General features: G+C 47.5%; 2 protein-coding genes across 3 annotated transcripts in view, besides 2 other annotated features; both read right to left on the bottom strand.

The window, feature by feature from the left end:
- Positions 1-22,172, bottom strand: part of MPV17L-BMERB1 (MPV17L-BMERB1 readthrough) — a 192,506-nt gene that overhangs the window by 38,350 nt on the left and 131,984 nt on the right. The window lies entirely within an intron of this gene.
- Positions 1-22,172, bottom strand: part of BMERB1 (bMERB domain containing 1) — a 153,672-nt gene that overhangs the window by 38,350 nt on the left and 93,150 nt on the right. The gene's annotated exons all lie outside the window — the stretch shown is intronic.
- Positions 7,172-7,717: an enhancer, noted in NCBI's record as "OCT4-NANOG hESC enhancer chr16:15636050-15636595 (GRCh37/hg19 assembly coordinates)". NCBI's record gives its function as "activates a minimal SCP1, AML or CMV promoter by ChIP-STARR-seq in naive H9 embryonic stem cells {active_cell/tissue: H9 hESC(naive)}" and the evidence as "EXISTENCE:reporter gene assay evidence [ECO:0000049][PMID:30033119]".
- Positions 10,293-10,794: an enhancer, noted in NCBI's record as "NANOG hESC enhancer chr16:15632973-15633474 (GRCh37/hg19 assembly coordinates)". NCBI's record gives its function as "activates a minimal SCP1, AML or CMV promoter by ChIP-STARR-seq in primed H9 embryonic stem cells {active_cell/tissue: H9 hESC(primed)}" and the evidence as "EXISTENCE:reporter gene assay evidence [ECO:0000049][PMID:30033119]".

Below are 22,172 nucleotides of genomic sequence, written 5' to 3'. Positions count from 1 at the left end.
AAAATGAAATAAAGAAATGGGAAATAGACATTTTTCCCAATTTTGTGGAAAGTGTAAGAAAAAAACTTGATAGAAACTATGCAATTTTAATTAATTTGTACGACACAAATCTCACTAAAAACCATGGACTCCCTACTGCGAAGGCAGCTCTAAGGTAAGTCCCCTGATTGTTTCATGTGACCAACTGGCTGGCCCTAAGCCCCTCCTGTTTAGGAATTTTTTTTTTTTTTTTTAGACAATGTCTCACTCTGTCGCCAGGATGGAGTGCAGTGGCGTGATCTCAGCTCACTGCAACCTCCGCCTCCTGGGTTCAAGGAATTCTCCTGCCTCAGCCTCCTGAGTAGCTGGGACTACAGGCGCCCGCCACCACGCCCAGCTAATATTTGTATTTTTAGTAGAGACAGGGTTTCACCACGTTGGCCAGGATGGACTCCATCTCTTGACCTAGTGATCCGCCTGCCTCTGCCTCCCAAAGTGCTGGGATTACAGGCGTGAGCCACCGCACCCGGCCCTGTTTAAGAATTTTAAAGCAATCACTCCATTTTTTTTTTTTTTTTTTTTGAGATAGAATCTTGCTTGCTCTGTTGCCCAGGCTGGAATGCAGTGGTGTGATCTTGATCTGGGCTTACTGCAACCTCCACCTCCTGGGTTCAAGCAATTCCTCTGGCTCAGCCTCCCAAGTAGCTGGGATTACAGGCACCAGCCACCATGCTCAGCTAATTTTTGTATTTTTAGTAGAGTTGGGGTTTTACCAGTTTGGCCAGGCTGGTCTCAAACTCCTGACCTCAGGTGATCTGCCCACCTCGGCCTCCCTAAGTGCTGGGATTACAGGCATGAACCACCACATCCGGCCGCAGTCATTCCTTTCAGCTGAGCTTCTAAGGACTGAAGGAAAAAACTCTTAAGAACACAATCTGCAGGCCCCGGGGAAGCCTCCCCTGCCCTCTTCCCACCCATTCCTGCTTAGCCCATGGACTGGGCCACTAGGACCACTGTCTCAGCTTAGCCCTGCTCCTGCCAAAGCACAGAGCACACTTCTCTGAAGCCATCACCTATCTACCATCACCACTGGCAATTCCCATCAGAGTCATTGCACCAGCAGAAGCAGATAAGCTTTTGATAATAAGTAAATTAATGTTTAAGTCAACTTCATGTTTATTCAGCATGCTAGTGATTAGTGGTCTCCTTTGTAGGCAAGCGAGACCCTGGGGCTTGATAAACCACAAAGAAAACGCAAGTAATCTCTGTTGGATGCCCCAAAGTAGGGCAGGCTAGGACTAGAATGAGTGATGTGCTGGGGAATGTTTAACTGGCTGGAAGCAGGGGAGGGAGGTAGAAGCCTTGCTGTGAATCATTTGCCAATTTCCACGGTGTAAATACTCCCACTGCTGCAGATTTTGAGCTACCCACAGTTGAACAACTGGTTCTCCAGATTCCTAAAAATTTAACATCACTGGCTAGAATCAACAAGTGGGCAGATTTAGGGGTGCTTCTTCAACACTCTAAAGTATTCATTCAACGTTTACTTAGAAGAGAAGCTGAGTATTATTTGGGGAAAAGGTTACCTGTGGCGATGATGATGACAATGATTTTGGCTACCATTTACTCGGAATTCACCACGCACAGGGCGGGTGCAGTGGCTTACACCTGTAATCCCAGCACTTTGAAAGGCCAAGACCAGCAGATCACTTGAGATCAGGGGTTCAAGACCAGCCTGGCCAACCTGGTGAAATCCCGTCTCTACTAAAAATACAAAAATTAGCCAGGCATGGTGGTGCACAGCTGTAATCCCAGCTACTCGGGAGGCTGAGGCAGGAGAATCACTTGAACTTGGGAGGCAGAAGTTGCAGTGAACCAAGATCATGCCACTGCGCTCCAGCCCGGGCGACAAACAGAATTTACCATGCACCTTTTACACCCTAAGTGCTTTATACACTAAGAAGTGCTTCATAGGCACTAAATGCTTTACACAGATCATCTCAATCCTGATAACCACTGTTTGAGGTGGGCACTACGTGGTTGTCTCTTTTATACAGGAAGATCCCACAGCTCAGAGAGGTTAAGTGGCTCCATCGGAATCACACAGCTAGTCAATGGTGGAGCTGGGACACTGACCTGTGGATCCTGATTCGGACACCCACATTATCTCAATGAAGAACATCTCCTTCATTGTGTGGCAGGTCAGGTCTCACTAACGCAGGCCTCCATGACAGCTATTTCAGCAGGGACTGTGTGGTTAAGTTAAACATTAAAAGCTGAAAGTGGCTGGGCAGGCAGTGACTCATGCCTGTAATCCCAGCACTTTGGGAGCCCAAGGCGGATGCATCACCTTGTTCAGGAGTTCAAGACCAGCCTGGCCAACATGGTGAAACCCCGTCTCACCTAAAAATACAAAAAAAATTAGCTGGGCGTGGTGGCAGGCACCTGTAATCCTAGCTACTTTGGGAGGCTGCAGCAGGAGAATCGCTTGAACCTGGGAGGCGGAGGTTGCAGTGAGCCGAGATCCTGCCATTGCACTCCAGCCTGGGCGACAAGAGCAAAACTCTGTCACTAAAAAAAAAAAAAAGAAGAAGAAAAAAACAAAGCTGAAGGAGCCTACTGGGCATGGTGGCTCATGCCTGTACAATCCCAGCACTTTAGAAGGCAGAGGCGGGTGAATCACCTGATGTCAGGAGTTTAAGACCAGCCTGGCCAACATAGTGAAATCATGTCTCTACAAAAAATACAAAAATTAGCTGGGCATGGTGGCGCATGCCTGTAATCCCAGCTACTCGGAAGCTGAGGCAGGAGAATCGCTTGAACCTAGGAGGCAGAGGTTGTAGTGAGCAGAGATCGCACCACTGCACTCCAGCCTGGGCGACAGAGCGAGACTCTGTCTCAAAAAAAAAAAAAAAAAGCTAAAAGAGCCAGTGCCCTTATACAAAGGCTGGAATGTAACAGAAATCCTCCAACAGTTTTGCTCAGGCCTTTCCTGGGCCTTGAAACATGACGAGATAACGAGGCAATTCTTAACAGGACACGTTTAGGATTAAACAAGTTTTATTGGGGGTGTGAAGAAACTCCCCAGGCCTCCACAAACAAGTTTATTGGGAGTGTGAAGGAAGTCCCCAAACCTCCATGATTTAGCAGGAGACAAGATAAGGGTAATCACCCCAGCAACTGGACCCATTTAGATTAAGTAAATTTACTGAGGCTTCAGAGGAAGGTCTTCAGGACTCAGACCTTAGTTAGACTAGAAGAAGCTGATTATTTAGGTCTTTAGGTGAACGCACACTTACACGTGGACATATAGTTTAGAAGGTATGTAAGCTCTGGGAAACTTTGTAATTTTGAGTTGGTCTGGTGGTATTTTCCAGGCTTTTTCCCTGTAACTGGTAACAGAAATAGAAACTCCCTCCTTTCCCAGTTTATTTGCATCTCGTTATTGGGTCACTAGAATAAGCAGCCCAACCCTCAGTTTGATCCAGGAACAATTGTTCCAAGCAATTTAATTCTGATACCAGTTCAGCATAATGCTCTTGGAAAAAAATCAAAATCCTGCAGATAGCAGGACTCACTTTGCTTAGAACGACGGGGTTTATGTGTATGTGTTTTTGTTTGTTGTTTGTTTGTTTGTGACAGGGAAACAGGGTCTTGCTCTGTCATGTAGGCTGGAGTGCAGTTGCTTGATCATGGCTCACCACAGCCTCAATCTCCCAGGCTCAAGACATCCTCCTGCCTCAGCCTCCTGAGTGGCTGGAAATACAGGCGTGCCCTAGCATGCTTGGCTAATTTTTATATTTTTTATAGAGAGGGGGTTCCACCATGTTGCCCAGTCTGGTCTCAAACTTCTGGCCTCAAAGCAATCCTCCCATCTCGGCTTCCCAAATTGTTGGGATTACAGGCGTGAGCCCCTGTGCCTGGCCCCCACCCTCTTCTTTGACCTCTGTCAAAGAAGACCTTCTTTGGCCACCATTCCTGGCCATGGAAGGCTGTTTACAGACTACCTATTGTTACTTACACATGGTCTTGGGTGGGGTTGTGTCTCCCTCCTGTAATGGAAAAAAGTTGGAATTTTTGGCTGCTCAACCTCCAAACCCTAGTTTTAGGGAAAGCATTCACTGTGTCAGTCATTATTAGAGAAGTTCAACAAGGGAGCACCCCCACTTCCTCAGACTCAGCCAATCAGAAGCTCATGTCCAAGACTTTGACCACAGAGCAAATGACAGAGATAAAAGGATGGAGGGATTAGACTTGTGCTGTCCAGCAATGGCGGCTTCCTGGCCAGATTGGTCCTGTGGCCAGTCTCTGGGGCTTTCTTGATCCATACTCATTTCCAAGCCTGTCCTTCCGACTCCTGAGCCCCCATCCCCACTCATAGCCTTCTACAATCCCATTTTTTGGTTGAGTCAGGCAGAGTTGATTTCTGTTGCTTGTGGCCAACAACCCTAACCAAAAGAAGCGTCAGAGTGTTCCCACCAACCACACCGGGTCTTCTCTCTAAGGGAAGTCTGGATGGGGACAATTTTCTCCATCATATATCACTTTAGTGAGTCTGTACTGTCTTCTATCGATTGGTACTGGGCTAGCTTGCACCTAATCAGCTGTGGGCAGATATCAGTAAGAGGGTGTTAGAAAGCACTTATTAGAAAATTTGGGGCCAGGTGTGGTGGCTCACACCTGTAATCCTAGCACTTTGGGAGGCCGAGGCAGGTGGATCACTTGAGGTCAGGAGTTCGAGACCAGCCTGGCCAACATGGTGAAACCCCGTCTCTACTAAAAATACAAAAGTTAGTCAGGCGTGGTGGCGGGTGCCTATAATCCCAGCTACTCGGGAGGCTGAGGCGGGAGAATTGCTTGAACCCGGGGGGCAGAGGTTGCAGTGAGCCGAGATTGCACCACTGCACTCCAGCCTGGGTGATAGAGCGAGACTCCGTCTCAAAAAAAAAGAAAAAGAAAAGAAAAGAAAATTTGGGCTTGTGTTAGGTGCTTTGGGGGACAGTTTAAAGGAAGTGAGCATTTACTCTGGATTGGATGTTGTCAGGAAGTGGAGGTAATTCTCTGATAGAGTGTCTTCCTAATTCTTTCCTTTAAAGGGAGAAGAACAGAGTAAGACTGAAACTGTGATTGATGGAGAACTAGCAGTCACTCATATGAGCTAGGAAATGGGGCTATTGGGTGATTTTTGTGGCTGGGACAATGTTCATGTCTTTATCTGCCTTCAGGAGTAGTGTTATTTTGTCTTGATCTATCACGGTCTCAGGATGGCCTTGTCTGATGCCGGCAATCTGCAAAATTGTTTACATTCAACAGGAGAACACTTTGGCCAAGCTGTGAGTGTCAAGCCAGCTCCCGGCTGCCAGGGGCAGCTTTTCTCTTTCTCACAGTGTAGGAAGTAATTTATATACTTCTTTTCTGCCCATAAGTAATTACTAAATCTGCAACTATAGGGACCAGTCCTACCCATTTTAGTCTTCCCTGCGGGGCCCACCATGATGCTTTGCATACTGAACGTGCTCTGGGAATGTGCCCAGTGAACTAAATTATGGGCACAGAGAACTCTCTGGGACTTGGCATTATTAAGATCATGCTGAAGTATATTTTCAAAATTTAAAATGTGACTCATACAAATGTGGAATGAACACTTGTCAAAAAATTTATTTAACCCATTAATGAGGGAACCAGTAAAATGGTAAAGCTCGCTCCAAGGGCATTTAAAAAGTGGACTCATCAGCATCTTTAATGAAAACCTTAGCATAAGATTGCTAAATTCGAGAGAAATCTGGTTAACATGCTATAAGGGCAATAAAACCATAACCTTTAATGTCGTCTTTTTTCTACTGGACAGAAATCTACAAGTTAACGTGTAATTTCACTATGTCAGTGCTCTAATCAAATAATAAATAACAAAGTCAGATACATGTACTCTCTCCAAGATAATTAATCATCCGTGGGCAGGTCATTAAGCAGTGCCTCAGTATGACATGGAAAAGACATTCTTCCTTATTTCCAATTTTTAGTTAATTTTCATTTAAGAATCATAACAAAAGACTCTTTTGTGGCTTCTTAGGAACATATTCAACTGAAATTTTTGTTTTAATTGTGTTTTAGAGACAGGGTCTTGCTCTGTGGTCCAGGCTGGCATGCAGTGGTATAATCATAGCTCACTGCAGCCTTGACCTCTCAGGTTTAAGCAATCTTCCCACCTCAGCCTCCTGAGTAGCTGGGATTATGGGTACACACTACCATGCCCAGCTCATTTCAAAATTTTTTGTAGAGAGGAGTTCTTGTGATGTTGCCCAGGCTGGTCTCAAACCCCTAGGCTCAAGGAGTCCTCCTGCTTCGACCTCCCAAAGTGCTGGGATTATAGGATTGAGCCACTGTGCCCAGCCTGAAATTTTTCTAATGCCCACCTCACACCTGGCAATTCCCCAGGTATCAGCAGCAGCAGTAGCATCCTGCTGATACGGACAGGCGGCAGAAGGACAGGGTCCCAGGTGAGGGCTCCACCCTCAAGCCTGGACCTGCAGCCCTAAATGAGAACAGGCATTCCTGTTTTCACACCCAAATGTTGCCTTTTCCAAAACCGCTCTGGACCACCCTGCCCCCATCCTATGCCCTTAAGAACCCCAAACCCCAGGCTCCACAATCAGAATAGCACCAGAGTGGCGTGGCAGAGAAGGAGAGAAGAGAAGAAGTGTCTGAACATCGAGAGGAGTTTGGCTGGGGACAGTCAGAGAGGAGATCATCTGAGGATGGCTGAACTCCAGGGGAAGATTACCTTCCCACTCCATCCCCTTTCCAGCTCCCCTTCCACTGAGAGCCACTTCCACTACTTAATAAAAAATTTGTATTCACCATCCTTCAAGTCCATGTGACCTGATTCTTCCTGGACACCAGACAAGAACCCAGGTACCAAGAGGGCAGGGTGTAAAAGGCTATCACCCTGAATCTCCACTGAACTGGTTAACACTTAGTCATCTGCGTACAGCAACTGCTAAAAGAGTATTAATTGTAACACATCCCTAGACGCTGCCATGGGACCAGAGCCCAAAAGCACTCACCCCAGCCCCAATCTGCTCACCTGCATGCTCCCCCTCCTGCAAGGGGTTTGATGCAGTGGCAGCCAAGTAAGCGAGCCACACCCCTGTCACAAGTCCTGCAAAGGGGACAGGGGAGCTCCCCCATTTCACTGCTAACATTTACTGAACAGTTATTATGTGGTTAGGTATTGTAATATCTTTTTTATGTATCTTATCTCATCTGCTCCTGACCAAAAAAAAAAAAAAAAAAAAAAAATCCCTAGGAGGTAATTCATTAAGCCACTAGTGTGGTTAATAAAATATCTATTTGGTCTTCATCCCTGGTTCCCAGCACAGAGCTCCTAAAGCCCCTGGAGTTTCCTGAGCGATAGGACTGTCTTTTGTTATCCATAGCAATCCCCATTGTACTACATCTGAGTGTATGCTAATGAGGGCACTCAGGCTGAGTTCCCTAGAGAGATGGCTTCAGGTTGGGGCCTCGTCACCAGAAGAGCAAATGTGTGATAAAGACAGGGGAGAGGGGTGGGCAGGGCACGGTGGCTCACGCCTGTAATCACAGCACTTTGGGAGGTCCAGGCCGGCAGATCACGAGGTCAGGAGTTCGAGACCAGCCTGGCCAATATGGTGAAACCCCCGTCTCTACTAAAAATACAAAAATTAGCTGGGTGTGATGGCACGTGCCTGTAGTCCAAGCTACTTGGGAGGCTGAGGCAGGATAATTGCTTGAACCTGGGAGGCGGAGGTTGCAGTGAGCCGCAATCATGCCACTGCACTCCAGCCTAGGCTATAGAGTGAGACTCCGTCTCAAAAAAAAAAAAAAAAAGACAGGTGGTCGGGGGCACTGCCGGATGCAGAGGCTCATGCCTGTAATCCCAGCTACTCAGGTGGCTGAGCCAGGAGGATCACTTGAGCTCAGGAGTTTGAGACCAGCCTGCACAACATAGCAAGACTCCATCTCTACCAAAAAAAAAAAAAAAAAAAATTTAGGCCGGGTATGGTGGCTCAAGCCTGTAATCCCAGCACTTTGGGAGGCCGAGGCGGGCGGATCATGAGGTCAGGAGATCGAGACCATCCTGGCTAACATGGTGAAACCCCACCTCTACCAAAAATACAAAAAAATTAGCCAGGCATGGTGGCAGGCGCCTGTAGGCCCAGCTACTCGGGAGGCTGAGGCAGGAGAATGGCATGAACCTGGGAGGCGGAGCTTGCAGTGAGCCAAGATCGCGCCACTGCACTCCAGCCTGGGTGACAGAGCAAGACTCTGTCTCAAAAAAAAAAAAAAAAAAAATTAAAAATTAGCCAGGCATGTTGGCACCCACCTGTGTAGTCTCAGCTACTTGTGAGGCTGAAGCAGGAGGCTCACTCCTAGGAGGTCAAGGCTGTAGTGAGCTATGATCTCACCACTGCACTCCAGCCTGGGTGACAGAGTGAGACCCTGTCTCAAAAAAAAAAAAAAAAAAAAAACAATTCGGCGGGCAACTTCCAGTCCCACTCGCTGACCTGCCAGGAAGAGGAGGAGGCTGGCGACTGAATTATAAAAGCTCTTGAACAGTGAGATCCAGGGAGCCTCTAGGTTGGTGGACACACTGGTGTGCTGGGAGGGCAGTGCACCCAGAGAGGGCATCATGGAAGCTCTGCACGGCTCCCTCTCCACACCTTGCCCAATGCATCTCTCTTCCATTTGGCTATTCCTGAGTTCTGTCCTTTGTAATAAACCAGTAAACATAAGTGAAGGGCTTTCCTGAGCTCTGTGAGTCATTCCAGCAAACTATCAAACCCGAGGAGGTGGTCGTGGGAACCCCCAAGTTTGTAATTGGCCAGGCAGAAGGGTGGGTGGCTCCGGACTTGCGACTGGCATCTGAGATAGGGGCAGTCTGGTGGGATGGGGTCTTTTAACTTGCAGGACCTGATGCTAACTCCAGGACATAGTGTGATAGCTGAATTGAATTGCTTGGGCACCCAGTTGGCATCCAAGAATCAGAGACTTAGTGTAGAAAAATGGCACGTATTTGGTATCAGAAAAAACACATTTGGTGTCAGAAGTGGCGTCAGAAAACACCACACAGAGTAACAGAGAAGTCGAGCAATTTGCTCAAGACCACACAGCCGGTAAGCATCTCCGCTGGGACACAGACCCTGGCGCAGGCAAAGTCTGTGACTGTAACTGCTACGTGTGCTGCCTCTTGCTGCGCCTGACCTCCTCACACCAGCCACCAGGTGCAACATCCTTATCGCCTTGCAGGCAAGAAGGAAAAGTGTGGCTCAGGGTAGCAAAGCCAGTGTTTCCTGAACATCAGTCACTTGCACGTTACCATGGCAACAGTTGCTATGCCTCAAGCCCTCTCTATTATTATTATTATTTGAGACAGGGTCTCACTCTGTCACCCAGGCTGGAGTGCAGTGGCACAATCTCAGCTCACTGCAACCTCCACCTCTCAGGTTCAAGTGATTCTCATGCTTCAGCCTCCTGAGTAGCTTGGATTATAGGTGCATGCCACCGAGAGCCGCTAATTTTTGTATTTTTAGTAGAGACGGGGTTTTGCCATGTTAGACAGGCTGGTCTTGAACTCCTGGCCTCAAGTGATCTCCCCACCTCAGCCTCCCAAAGTGCTGGGATTACAGGCGTGTTCTCTTTTATTGTCTATTTAATACTTTTCTTTATGTTGATTCTCTTTTTTACATCACCATAAATGCAAACCTAATATTGTTCCTAAAAGACATGAAAATTATATATATTTTTTTCAGCAGGGTCTCACTCTGTCGTCCAAGTTGGAGTGCAGTGGCGTGATATCAGCTCACTGCAGCCTGGGTTCCAGCAATCCTCCCGCCTCAGCCTCCTGGGTAGCTGGGGGTACTACAGGTGCACTCCAGCACACTGGGCTAATTTTTTGTAAAGACGGAGTTTCGTCATGTTGCCCAGGCTGGACTCAAACTCCTAGGCTCAAGTGATCCTCCACTTTGGCCTTCCAAAATGCTAGGATTACAAGCATGAGCCACTAGGCCTTGCCTGAAAATAAATTCTTTTTCTTTTTCTTTTTTTTTTTTTGAGACGGAATCTTGCTCTGTCACCAGGCTGGAGTGCAGTGGTACGATCTCGGCTCACTGCAACCTCCACCTCCCGGGTTCAAGAGATTCTCCTGCCTCAGCCTTCCAAGTAGCTGGGACTACAGGTGTGCACCACCACGCCCAGCTAATTTTTGTATTTTTAGTAAAGGCTGGGTTTCCACCATGTTGGCTAGGCTGGTCTTGATCTCTTGACCTCATGATCCTCCCACCTAGGCCTCCCAAAGTGCTGAGATTATAGGCATGAGCTACCATGCCTGGCCGAAAAAAAATTCTTAATTAATGTTTTCCTAAATGCTGCCTAAAATCATCCCAGAGCGTACCCAACTTTGGGAAAAACTGGACCAACTAAGTCTGATAAAGCAGGGGTTCCCAACCCCTGAGCCACCACCAGTACAGGTCCTTGGCCTGTTAGGAGCCAGGCCGCACAGCAGGAGGTGAGTGGCGGGTGAGTGAGTGAAGCTTCATCTGCATTTACGGCCACTCCCCATGCTCACAGTACCGGCTGAGCTCCCCCTCCTGTCAGATCAGCGGCTGCATTAGATTCTCATAGGAGTGCAAACCCTATTGTGAACTGTGCATGTGAGGGATCTAGGTTGCACGCTCCTTATAGGAATCTAATGCCTGATGATCTGCCACTCTCTCCCATCGCCCACAGATGGGACCATCTTGTTGCAGGAAAACAAGCTCAGGGCTCCCACTGATTCCACATTATGGTGAGTTGTATAATTATTTCATTATAGATTACAAAGTAATAATGATAGAAATAAAGTGCACAGTAAATGTAATGCACTTGAATCATCTCAAAACCATGCCCCCACCCCATCCCTGGTCCATGGAAAAATTGTCTTCCATGAAACCAGTCCTTGGTGCCAAAGAGGTTGGGGATCGCTGCTATAAAGTCAAACAGCCAAGATATCAACCCAGGCTCCTGCCTCCAAGTCTAGGGCTGTTTTAGCTACAACATGGGCCCCTTCACCACATTGTGTTTCTGGTTAACTGTGTCGGGCAGCAAGTGGAGAGGAACTGGAAATTTCTCAACTTGGCTCTAAATGAGACCAAAGAGAAAAACCAAATAGTGATGGCAGACAACAGATGGTGAGAGGGCTCACTCCTCCAGGCGGTTAATGATGCCCTGGGCAAGCTTTCCGAATTTAATCACCAGAGCGATTCTGGACTATGCTTCAGTCCAGAATACTCTGATTGTTCTAGGATCCGCTGGAATTTTCCTCTGGAATAACTCAAGGTCAGTTCTAACAGGTCTAAGCAGCAGCATGAGCATTGAAGACATGGAACAGTAGCAAACAGTCACCATCTTCAAGGGGGAATGAGAGCACTGACTTCCAATCTAAGAGCCTTTTTTTTTTTTCTTTGAGACAGAGTCTTGCTCTGTCACCCAGGCTGGAGTGCACTGGCACATCTCGGCTCACTGCAATCTCCGCCTCTCAGGTTCAAGTGATCCTGGTGCCTCAGCCTCCCAAGTAGCTGGGATTACAGGTGCACACCACCATGCCCAGTTAATTTTTGTATTTTTAGTAAGAGATGGTGTTTCACCATGTTGGCCAGGCTGGTTTGGAACTCCTGACCTAAGTGATCCACCCACCTTGGGCTCCCAAAGGGCTGGGATTCCAGGCATGAGCCAACGCATCCGGCCCATCTAAGGGCTTTTTAATGACCTGGTATAGCTCACCAAACTCCACGTGGGGAAGCCTCCTATCGACTCAAGATGTCAGTTTATTCAGGCATTTCCCAAAGTGTTGCTTTCAAAGGTAAATTAAACTTCATTATCTAAATGAGCAGTTTTCGTCTTGGGTCAAACTATAGCTCCAAAATGCTTTCATAGGTGGCAGACATTTAAGAATTTTCAGCCACGCACGGTGGCTCATGCCTGTAATCCCATCATTTTGGGAGACTGAGGCAGGAGAATCACTTGAGGCCAGGAGTTTGATAACAGCCTGGGCAACACAGCAAGACCCCATCTCTACAAAAAAATTAAAAAATTGGCCAGGCATGGTGGCATGTGCCTATAGTCCCCACTACTCAAGGGGCTGAGGCAGGAAGATCACTGGAGCCCAGGAGTTCAAGGCTGCAGTAAGCCATGATTCATCACTGCACTCCAGCCTGGGCAACAGAGTGAAAGCCCGTCTCTTAAAAATACATATATATTTCTCGGCCGGGCATGGTGGCTCATGCCTGTAATCCCAGCACTTTGGGAGGCCGAGGTGGGTGGATCATTTGAGGACAGGAGTTCGAGACCAGCCTGGCCAACATGGTGAAACCCCGCCTCTACTAAAAATACAAAAATTAGCCAGGCATGGTGGCGGGCACCTGTAATCCCCGCTACTGGGGAGGCTGAGGCAGGAGAATCGCTTGAACTTGGGAGACAAGGTTGCAGTGAGCCAAGATTGTGCCACTGCACTCCAGCCTGGGCAACAGAGCGAGATGCTGTCTCAAAAAAAAAAAAAATTAAGAATAAGAAAAATCTATCTTCTGCTCTGCTCTTGGCCAGCTCACTTGATTTCTTTAAAAAAATAAAAATAAAAGGAGACCCTGTGTTGGTTTTTAGAAGTCCAAAACAGGAACAAATGGAAAGCAATAGTCATTGAATGATGACAAATTCTGTTTGGTTGGACACTGTCAGAAAGCCTGTGCTTATAATTTTCTTGATAAATATAGCCCCAGGTTCAATCAAAGGCATAATCAACGGACTTCAATAACGGATGTGATGATGAAGACAACAGATGGCATCGGAATTATCTGACGCCACGGGAGACCACAAACACACATTTCATTATGATTCTGATCACGATCCTAGGCTACAGGGGAGAGAGAGAGGCTCCCACTGCTGTGCCAAGGAGTCAAACTAACATAGGGCAGATTTTGTACTTTTTATTAACATCTGAAGCAAGTTTTCGTCAAGAAAGGATTAAGAAGATGAGTCATCTATAAGCAGCTGATGGACACTAGGGTTCTTCTATTTCAGCCAGCGAAGAGGTGAGGGGATGTCTGTGCCGTGGGAGGTGAGGGGGCATCAGCCTACCTGCTTCTAAGACTCTCAATGACCAGGCTATGCCTTGGAACAACTAGACAAGACTCTGGCTGTAAGACCAGGCCCCAGCATTTTCTTTAAAGTTCTCCATGTGATTGCAATAGGCAGTCAAGGCTGAGACGCGGAAGCATGGGGGGATGTTGGCCTGGTGCAAGATGGACACATTGCCTCCAACTTCTGGCTACTTCTGTAAAGGCTGTTGAGGGATATTAGTCAGTGCTCAATCGGGGAAGCAGGGTCACTACGTGCTCTGGGGCAAGGGATGCGTTATAGGAATTAGACCTTCTACAATTGTCCAGGGAGCTGGGGAGATGGCGGTCTGGGAAGGGTGGAGAGGATGAGAGAAGTCACCGACAGCTGATATGAGAGTCAGATGCGTCCAGCTGTTAAGATGGAGTGGCAGAGGGGAAACAGGTAGAGGGGTCCCTAGGGGGCTGCTGCCTCGTCTGCCAAGCATCCAGAGGCGGGGGGGCTGCTGTTGGTCAGCAGGCCCAGCGGTCAGGAAGACAAGCTGCAAGGGACACAGGGGAGGGTGAGGACAAGCTGGAACCTCTGTGGCCCCTCTGTCAGATCACCTCCTTGTCTCATCTGGACAGCCTTCAAAGAGTAAACACTGATGTCACCTTCCTTCCACTTCCCAAATCTCCCGCACCATCCTCTTCTGCCTACTTTTAACCCACAACCCTACAGGGAAAAGGATATGGTTTGGCTCTGTGTCCCCACCAAAATCTCACTGCAAATTGTAATCCCCACGTGTCGAGGGAGGGAAGTGATTGGATCATGGCGGCAGTTTCCTCCATGCTGTTCTCGTGATAAAGGGTGAGTTCTCATGAGATCTGAGGGCTTTATAAGTGTCTGGCATTTCCCCTGCTGGCTCTTATTCCCTCCTGCTGCCTTGTGAAGAAGGTGCCTGCTTCCCCTTCTGCCATGATTGTAAGTTTCCTGAGGCCTCCCCAGCCATGCGAAACTGTGAGTCAATTAAACCTCTCTATTTTATAAATTACTCAATCTTTGGTATTTTTTTTTTCCAGTGTGAAAATGGACTAATACAAAATGGGATATGGGAAATAAAGTTCTCGGTATAGCTAAGCTTTCTTTTTTCTTTTCTTTCCTTTTTTTTTTTTTTTGAGATGGAGTCTTGCTCTGTCGCCAGGCTGGAGTACTGTGGCACGATCTCAGCTCACTGCAACCTCCGCCTTCTGGGTTCAAGTGATTCTCCTGCCTCAGCCTCCTGAGCAGCTGGGTCTACAGGGACACACCACTGTAGTCACCTAATTTTTTTTTGTATTTTTAGTAGAGATGGGGTTTCACCATGTTGGCCAGGATGGTCTCCATCTCTTGACCTCATGATCCACCCACCTTGGCCTCTCAAAGTGCTGGGATTACAGGCGTGAGCCACCGCACCTGGCCCTCTTTCTTCTTTTTGAGACAGAGTCTCACTCTGTTGCCCAGACTGGAGTGCAGTGGCACAAGCATAGCTCACTCCAGCCTTAGACTCCTGGGCTCAAGCAATCCTCCCACCTCAGCCTCTAGAATAGCTGAAGCTACAGGCATGCACCACTATGCCCAGCTAATTATTTAGTTTTTTTGTAGAGATGGGGTCTTGCTATGTTGCCCAAGCTGGTCTTGAACTTCTAGGCTCAAGCGATCCTCCCACCTAAGCCTCTCAAAGTGCAGGGATTACAGGTGTGAGCCACTGCATTCAGCCTAAATTTTTAATAGAATATTGCAGCACAGACTAGAAGGAACAGAAATCCACTCAAGCTCACTTGAGAAAAATATAGTTTAGTAAAGGTGTAAGAAAATGAAGGGAAATGCTAGCATCTTGACAGATGGTACCCATATGTATCTTGGGGAGATAATGGTTTTTGCTTGGAATTATGGCTTGACAAACACCTGGGGTGGTACTTGCAAGAGCTCAGCATAAATTGGTGCCGTGGCTTCTTAGAAGAGGGCAAAGCTGCTGTGGATAAGACAGGAGAAGTAAGTGTCTTCCTTGGAATGGAGGGAGCTGAGATAAAGGAGAAGAGAAAAAGAGGTGATGAAACTGGACCCCGTGTGTGGAAAAGGCCAAGAAAAAGGAAACCACCCCACTGCCTTATGGCACAGGGTGGTGAAAAAGATCTTGTTAACCAGGAATGTCAAATGTGGATTTCTAGTTCTCCTAGTTATGGCCATATGGATACCACGATGCCCTTTACTGGAACATTGACTTTTTTTTTAAGACAGAGTCTCACTCTCTTGCCCAGGCTGGAGTGTAGTGGCACAATCTCGGCTCACTGCAACGTCTTCCTCCCGGGTTCAAGGGATTCTCCAGCCTCAGCCTCCCTAATAGCTGGGATTACAGGCATGTACCTCCACACCCAGCTAATTTCTGTATTTCTTAGTAGAGACAGGGTTTCGCCTTGGCCTCCCAAAGTGCTAGGATTACAGACGTGAGCCACCGCGCCTGGCCTTTTCTTTTTTTTTTTTTTTTTTTTTTTTTTTTTGCAATTAAAAAAAAAATCAAGGTCTTTGCAGGGCTGTGGCTGGGGCTAGTCCTCTGGGGCTGGAGGGACAGTTACATGGTGAGCCAGGAGACGATTGTCACTGGTCATGGTTTTTAAGCTGTCTGCTGTGAAGAGATCAATGACACCCTTTTTGTGATCCTCATTGTATTGCTCCTCAAATGACCTGTGGGAGTAGGATAGGGCATTGTTTTATTCTGTTGTTATGGAAACCAGTGAAGCATCTGAGTTTCATATTCAGTTGGATGGAGGTACAGGACTCAAGGAACCAAGCCTAGGAGCAGAGAAGACTTGAGGATGGAAGCCCCTGGAAATGTACAGACATTGTACAGCTGGATTTTGGATTTCCCTAGGCGGTGGCAACACGGGGTGGGAGGTATTTCTCCAAGGGTCTGGAGAAAGGATGCGCAGGGTTGAACAAGGTGCAACATCTTATGGACTACCCAGTTCATCTGGACTGCAATGGGAATGTCATGGCTGAGTTCCTTCTCTGCTTTCAAAGGACACTGTCTCTCTTGTTATTCTTGAGGCAGACGCTCTGTCCTCTTTCCCTTCAAAGACTGGCTTTCTCTGCTTATGCATAGACTTCGGTTTGCCACTCCCTCATCATCCACCTGGGCTAATCTCTCTGCATCCCAGGAGAAAGACTCTGATTGGCCCAGACTGAGCAAATTTGGACCAATCAGAGAGGAGTGAGGAGAGGCTCAAGCCCCCCTACACCTGAGGCTGCTACTTGGTCCCAGCTACTCAGAAGGCTGACGCAGGAGGATTGTTTGAACCTGGGAGGCAGAGGTTGCAGTGAACCAAGATTGAACCACTGCACTCCAGCCTGGGCAACACAATAGACTCTATCTCAGGAAAAAAAAAAAAAAAGAAAGAAACGAACTTCCTCTTCCACGTAATATCCTTCAGATATTTTGAGACAAATCTTAGGTGCCCCTTGAGACTTCTCTCGTCGTTTCAACAACCTTGACATGGAAAAGATCATCATTCCACCCTCTAATCTCCCCCTTCTCTTGTGTCTCCTCTTCCAAACAAAGAAACCAGTGTCTACACTTATGCCTGTATCTATCCATTTCCAAACTCAATTTCTTCCTGGTGGTAAAGGAAAGTAACATTTAATGAGCACTTACGTGGTAGCAGGCACTGGACTGAGCACTTAATATGCTTGATCTCTTTTACTCCTCATGACCACCCTGCGAGATACTGGATGCATGGCTATTTAACAGATGAGGCCACCGAGGCTCAGAGAAGGTAAGATATTTGTGCAAGATTGCACAGCCTATAAATGGCAGAGGTAGAATGTAAATCTAGGTGTAATTTAATCCGGAGCAAGTAAACACACTTACCAGGCACGAGGTCTATTTATCAGAAAGCAACCCCATCCAAGACCAGGATATCTAGTAATGAAAAAACAGGGATCTGGCCAGGCGCGGTGGCTCACGCCTGTAATCCCAACACTTTGGGAGGCCGAGGCGGGCAGATCACGAGGTCAGGAGATTGAGACCATCCTGGCTAACACAGTGAAACCCTGTCTCTACTGAAAATACAAAAAATTAGCCGGGCATGGTGGCAGGTGCCTATAGTCCCAGCTACTTGGGAGGCTGAGGCAGGCGAATGGCGTGAACCTGGGAGGCAGAGCTTGCAGTGAGCCGAGATCGTGCCACTGCACTCCAGCCTGGGCGACAGAGCGAGACTCCGTCTCAAAAAAAAAAAAAAAAAAAGAAAAAGAAAAAAAAAAGGCCGGGCATAGTGGCTCAAGCCTGTAATCCCAGCACTTTGGGAGGCCGAGGCAGGCGAATCACGAGGTCAGGAGTTCAAGACCAGCCCGGCCAATATGGTGAAACCCGGTCTCTACTAAAAATACAAATTAGCTGGGAGCAGTGGCGGGTGCCTGTAATCCCAGCTACTAGGGAGGCTGAGGCAGGAGAATCGCTTGAACCCAGGAGGCAGAGGTTGCAGTGAGCCAAGATCAAGCCACTGCATTCCAGCCCAGGTGACAGAGTGAGACTTTGTCTCAAAAAAAAACAAAAAAAACAAAAAAACAAAACAGGGATCCTACCACGTTTGGCAGAACCCAACCAGGAATGTCTTGGATTGATCTAATATAACTTGAGATCCCCGAGGAGTTTAGGGGACTGAGGACAGACACAGTAGACTGGAATTCCAGGAGACAACAAGATCTAAGTAACTGATGGCTCAATGAATAGCAGCCAATTACATAACATGAAATATGTAAGTCAGGATATTGCCTTAAGGGGGTGCTCGGGAATCTGGTTGTGTAGACCCAAAACACCAAGGCAGCTCTGCTAAGTCACTTGCAGTTTTATTCCCTCCCATTTCTCTTTGGGCATCCTGTCCTAGAACTGTCAAGAAAGGGTTGGTATTTTATTTGAAGGAAAATGTGGGAAGGAGGCTCAGCCAAGCATTATCCTATTCAATTCAGACCATCACGTGATAGGGACAAGCCCTTCTCAATCTCTGCTGCCACTCACATCAGCAGCTTTCCAGAAATAAGCAAAGGGAATGGAAAAACCCTTAATCGCCAGGCCACGGTACATGCAATTTACTGGTATCTATTGCCCTGTCTTTCTAAGAAGCTTCTTTTTTGGGAGATTTCAAAAAAATGATGAGAACCCGGCACAGGATGAAGCTATGAGGGTGCCCCATGTAGTGTGTCATCTTCCCCTTTCCCCAGCCTCACCAGGGCCGTCTCTGTCATTGTTGCTGCCACACTGTGGCTCCTGCTCTGGGCTTGGCCCTTATATGAATTGCTGTGGTCACTCAATATGGTAGACTGAAGAATGGTCCCTGAAGATATCCATGTCCTAATGAACCTATGAATCTGTTACCTTACACGGCAAAAGGGATTTTGGGCCAGGCATGGTGGCTCATGCTTCTAATCCTAGGACTTTAGGAGGCCTAGGCGGGAGGATCACTTGAACCTAGGAGTTCAAGACCAGCCTGGGCAAGGTGATGAGATCCCAACTGTATTAGTCCATTCTCATGCTGCTATGAAGAAATACCCGAGAAGGAGTAACTTGTAAAGAAAAGAGGTTTAAGGCTGGGCGTGATGGCTCACACCTGTAATCCCAACACTTTGGGAGGCTGAGGTGGGCGGATCACGAGGTCAGGAGTTTGAGACCAGCCTGGCCAACACAGTGAAACCCCGTCTCTACTAAAAATACAAAAAAAAATTAGCTGGGCATGGCAGCGGGTGCCTGTAATCCCAGTTACTTGGGAGGCTGAGGCGAATAATTGCTTGAACCCGGGAGGTGGTGGTTGTAGTGAGCCAAGATTGAGCCACTGCAATCCAGCCCAGTGACAGTGCGAGACTCCGTCTCAAAAAAAAAAAAAAAAAAAAAGAAAGAAGAAAAGAGGTTTAATTGACTCACAGTTCCACATAGCTTGGAAGGCCTCAGGAAACTTACAATCATGGCAGAAGGTTCCTCTTCACCAGGCGGCAGGAGAGAGAATGAATGCCAGCAGGGGAAATGCCAGATGCTTATAAAACCATCAGATCTCATGAGAACTCACTATCATGATAACAGCATGGCGCAACCACCCACATGATTGAATTACCTTCCACCGGGTCCCTCTCATGACATATGGGGATTATGGGATTACAATTCAGGATAAGATTTGGGTGGGGACACAGCCGAACTATGTCACCATCTCTACAAAATTCAAAAATTAGCTATGTGTGGTGGCACGTGCCTGTGGTCCCAGCTTCTTGGGAGGCTGAGGCAGTAAGATTGTTTGAGCCCAGGAATTAAAGGAAGCAATGAGCTATGACCGTGTCACTGCACTCCAGCCTGGACAACAGAGCAAGACTTCGTCTCTGAAAAATATATATTTTTAAAAAGGAAATTTGCAGATGTGATTAAATTAAGGGGTCCTGAGATGGGGAGATCATCCTGGGTTATCCAGGTGGGCCCTCAATGTCATCACAAGTGCCCCTACCCATTTATGCCTGAGGTTGCAATTTTTTGAATTTGAGAAATCAGACCTGGTGATAGCCTTGAGAAGTAGCATATAAATAACTCCCACATGCTTAGTGTTCCAATAATGGAATGCTAGGCATACATTTAAGAGAAAAACAGAGGGATTTGACACAGAAGAGCAAAGGCGACAGGATGACCTCAATCGAGAGGGACTGGACTATGCCATGCTGCTGGCTTCGGAGATGGAGGAGGGAAACACAAGCCAAGAAATGCAAAGAGTACGGTTCTAGAAGCTGGAATGAATGAGGAAGAGGCTTCTCCTCTAGAGCCTCCAGAAAGCACGGCTCTGCCAACACCTGATTTCAGCTCAGTGAAATCGATTTCAGACTTCCAGCCTCCAGAACTGTAAGATAAAAGAAATGTGTGTTGTTTTAACACATTTGCAGCTGTTTGTTACAGTAGCCACAGGAAAATAACGCACTTAGCTGCATTATCACTCTGTTCCTTCCTATGAATGGACCCACTGTTCACCCTAACCATCAGAGAGCCAGGCAGTTCTCACCACCCAGACCTGCCACATGGAAGGGAACCCTTGAGATTATGTGACCGTGGGAGAAGCAGGAAGATGAGCCCTCATTAATTCATTCAATCAATCTTCACTCAGAGTGCCTACGCTGAGTTTGGCTGTGTGCTGGGTACCGTCAACATTTTTGGGAGTGAAAATAGCTCAGCCTCTGTCCTCATGGAGGTCAGCATCTAGGAGGAGAGTCAGATATTGAACATACACTCACACCAATGAACACAAATTTACAAAAGGCTTCTAAGGAAAGGATTGCAGGGATGGTAATGGGACAGGGACTGGGGAAGTGCTGGGAAGGTGTCCCTCCAGAAATGCCCTAGATCTCAGTCCTCGAGGGGACAGAGTTTATCAGGTGCCTTAGTCCATTTGGGCTGCCATTCTCCCTTTCTTAGCCTAGGTGGCTTATAAACAACAAACACCGCCGGGCGCGGTGGCTCACGCCTGTAATCCCAGCACGTTGGGAGGCCGAGGCAGGCGGATCACGAGGTCAGGAGATCAAGACCATCCTGGCTAACACGGTGAAACCCTGTCTCTACCAATAAATACAAAAAAGTTAGCCGGGCGTGGTGGTGGGCGCCTGTAGTCCCAGCTACTCGGGAGGCTGAGGCAGGAGAATGGCGTGAACCTGGGAGGCAGAGCTTGCAGTGAGCCAAGATCGCACCACTGCACTCCAGCCTGGGCGACAGAGCTAGACTCCGTCAAACAAACAAACAAACAAACAAACAAACACTTATTTTTCATGGTAAAAGAGGCTGGAAAGTCCAAGATCAAGGTGTCAGCAGATTCAGTGTCTGGTGAGGACCTCTTCCTCATAGATAGTGAGTTCTCACTGTGTCCTCACACAGTGAAAGGGAGAAACAAGCTACCCTGGGCCTCTTTTACATGGGCACGAATCCCATCCATGAGGATCTGCCCTCATGACCTAATCACCTCCTGAAAGCCCCACCTCTTGATATTATTACATTGGGAATTAGATGTCGACATATGTATTTAGGGGTGATACAAACATTCAGATCATAGCACCAGGGAAGGAGAGGGGGGTGGGAGGAGAGGGATCCAGGCAGAGGGAACATCACAAACAAAAAGGCCCCCACGGCAGGAGGGGACCTGGTGTGTGTATCGGGGGGTGGGGAGGTGGAGACTAAAAGGAGGCCCAAGGGAGTGGTGTGTGTGTGTAAGGGAGGGAGCTGGGGGTGAGGAATGGATGAAGAAAAGAAGTTGGAGAAGAGGTGTGAGCAGATCCAGCAAGATCTCATGGGCTTTATCATGCTAACAAATTCTGGAAGGTGTTTGCTATGGTGTAAATGTTTATGACTCTTCAAAATTCATGTTGAAACTTAATTTCCAATGCAATAGTATTAAGGGGTGAGGGCCATTAGGAGGTGGGATCAGTGCACTAACAAAAGTGCTCGAGAGAGCAAGTTCAGTCCTTTTTGCCCTTCTGTCCATTCTGCTTGTGAGAAGACGGTGCCCTTCCTCTCTGGAGATCACAGAAGCAAGGCGCCATCTTGGAAGCAGAGAATGAGCCCTTCTAAGTATGGAATCTGCTGGCATCTTCATCTTGGACTTCCCAGCCAGACTCCAGAACTGTGAGAATTAAATTTCTATTTATAAATTACCCAGTCTAAGGAATTTTGTTACAGCAACAGGAACGGACTAAGACAGTGTTTAAATCTGAGAGTTATAATCAGATTCACATGGTGAGAAAATCCCTCTGGCTGCAGGACAGAGATGGGCATGTGAACCTGGGTGGTGGCCATGGAGATGGAGAAAGATGGACAGCTGAGCATTATTTTAGGAGGTAAAACAAACACCAGTTGATGATGAACTGAATATATGAGGTGGAGGGTTGGGAGGGGTCAAGAATGATGTCTAATTTTGGAATTTGAGATTTCCATGGATAGATGGTGATGCTTGACCATTTGCTGAGCTAGGGCTGGTGGGTATTGGGACTAGATGGGGGGATCATGAGTTTGACTTGGACAGATTGAGTTACAGGTATCTTTG

The sequence above is a fragment of the Homo sapiens genome, chromosome 16 (genome assembly GCF_000001405.40).
Source record: "Homo sapiens chromosome 16, GRCh38.p14 Primary Assembly".
NCBI classification, from domain to species: Eukaryota; Metazoa; Chordata; class Mammalia; order Primates; family Hominidae; genus Homo; species Homo sapiens.
This window is presented reverse-complemented; position numbering and strand designations above follow the sequence as displayed.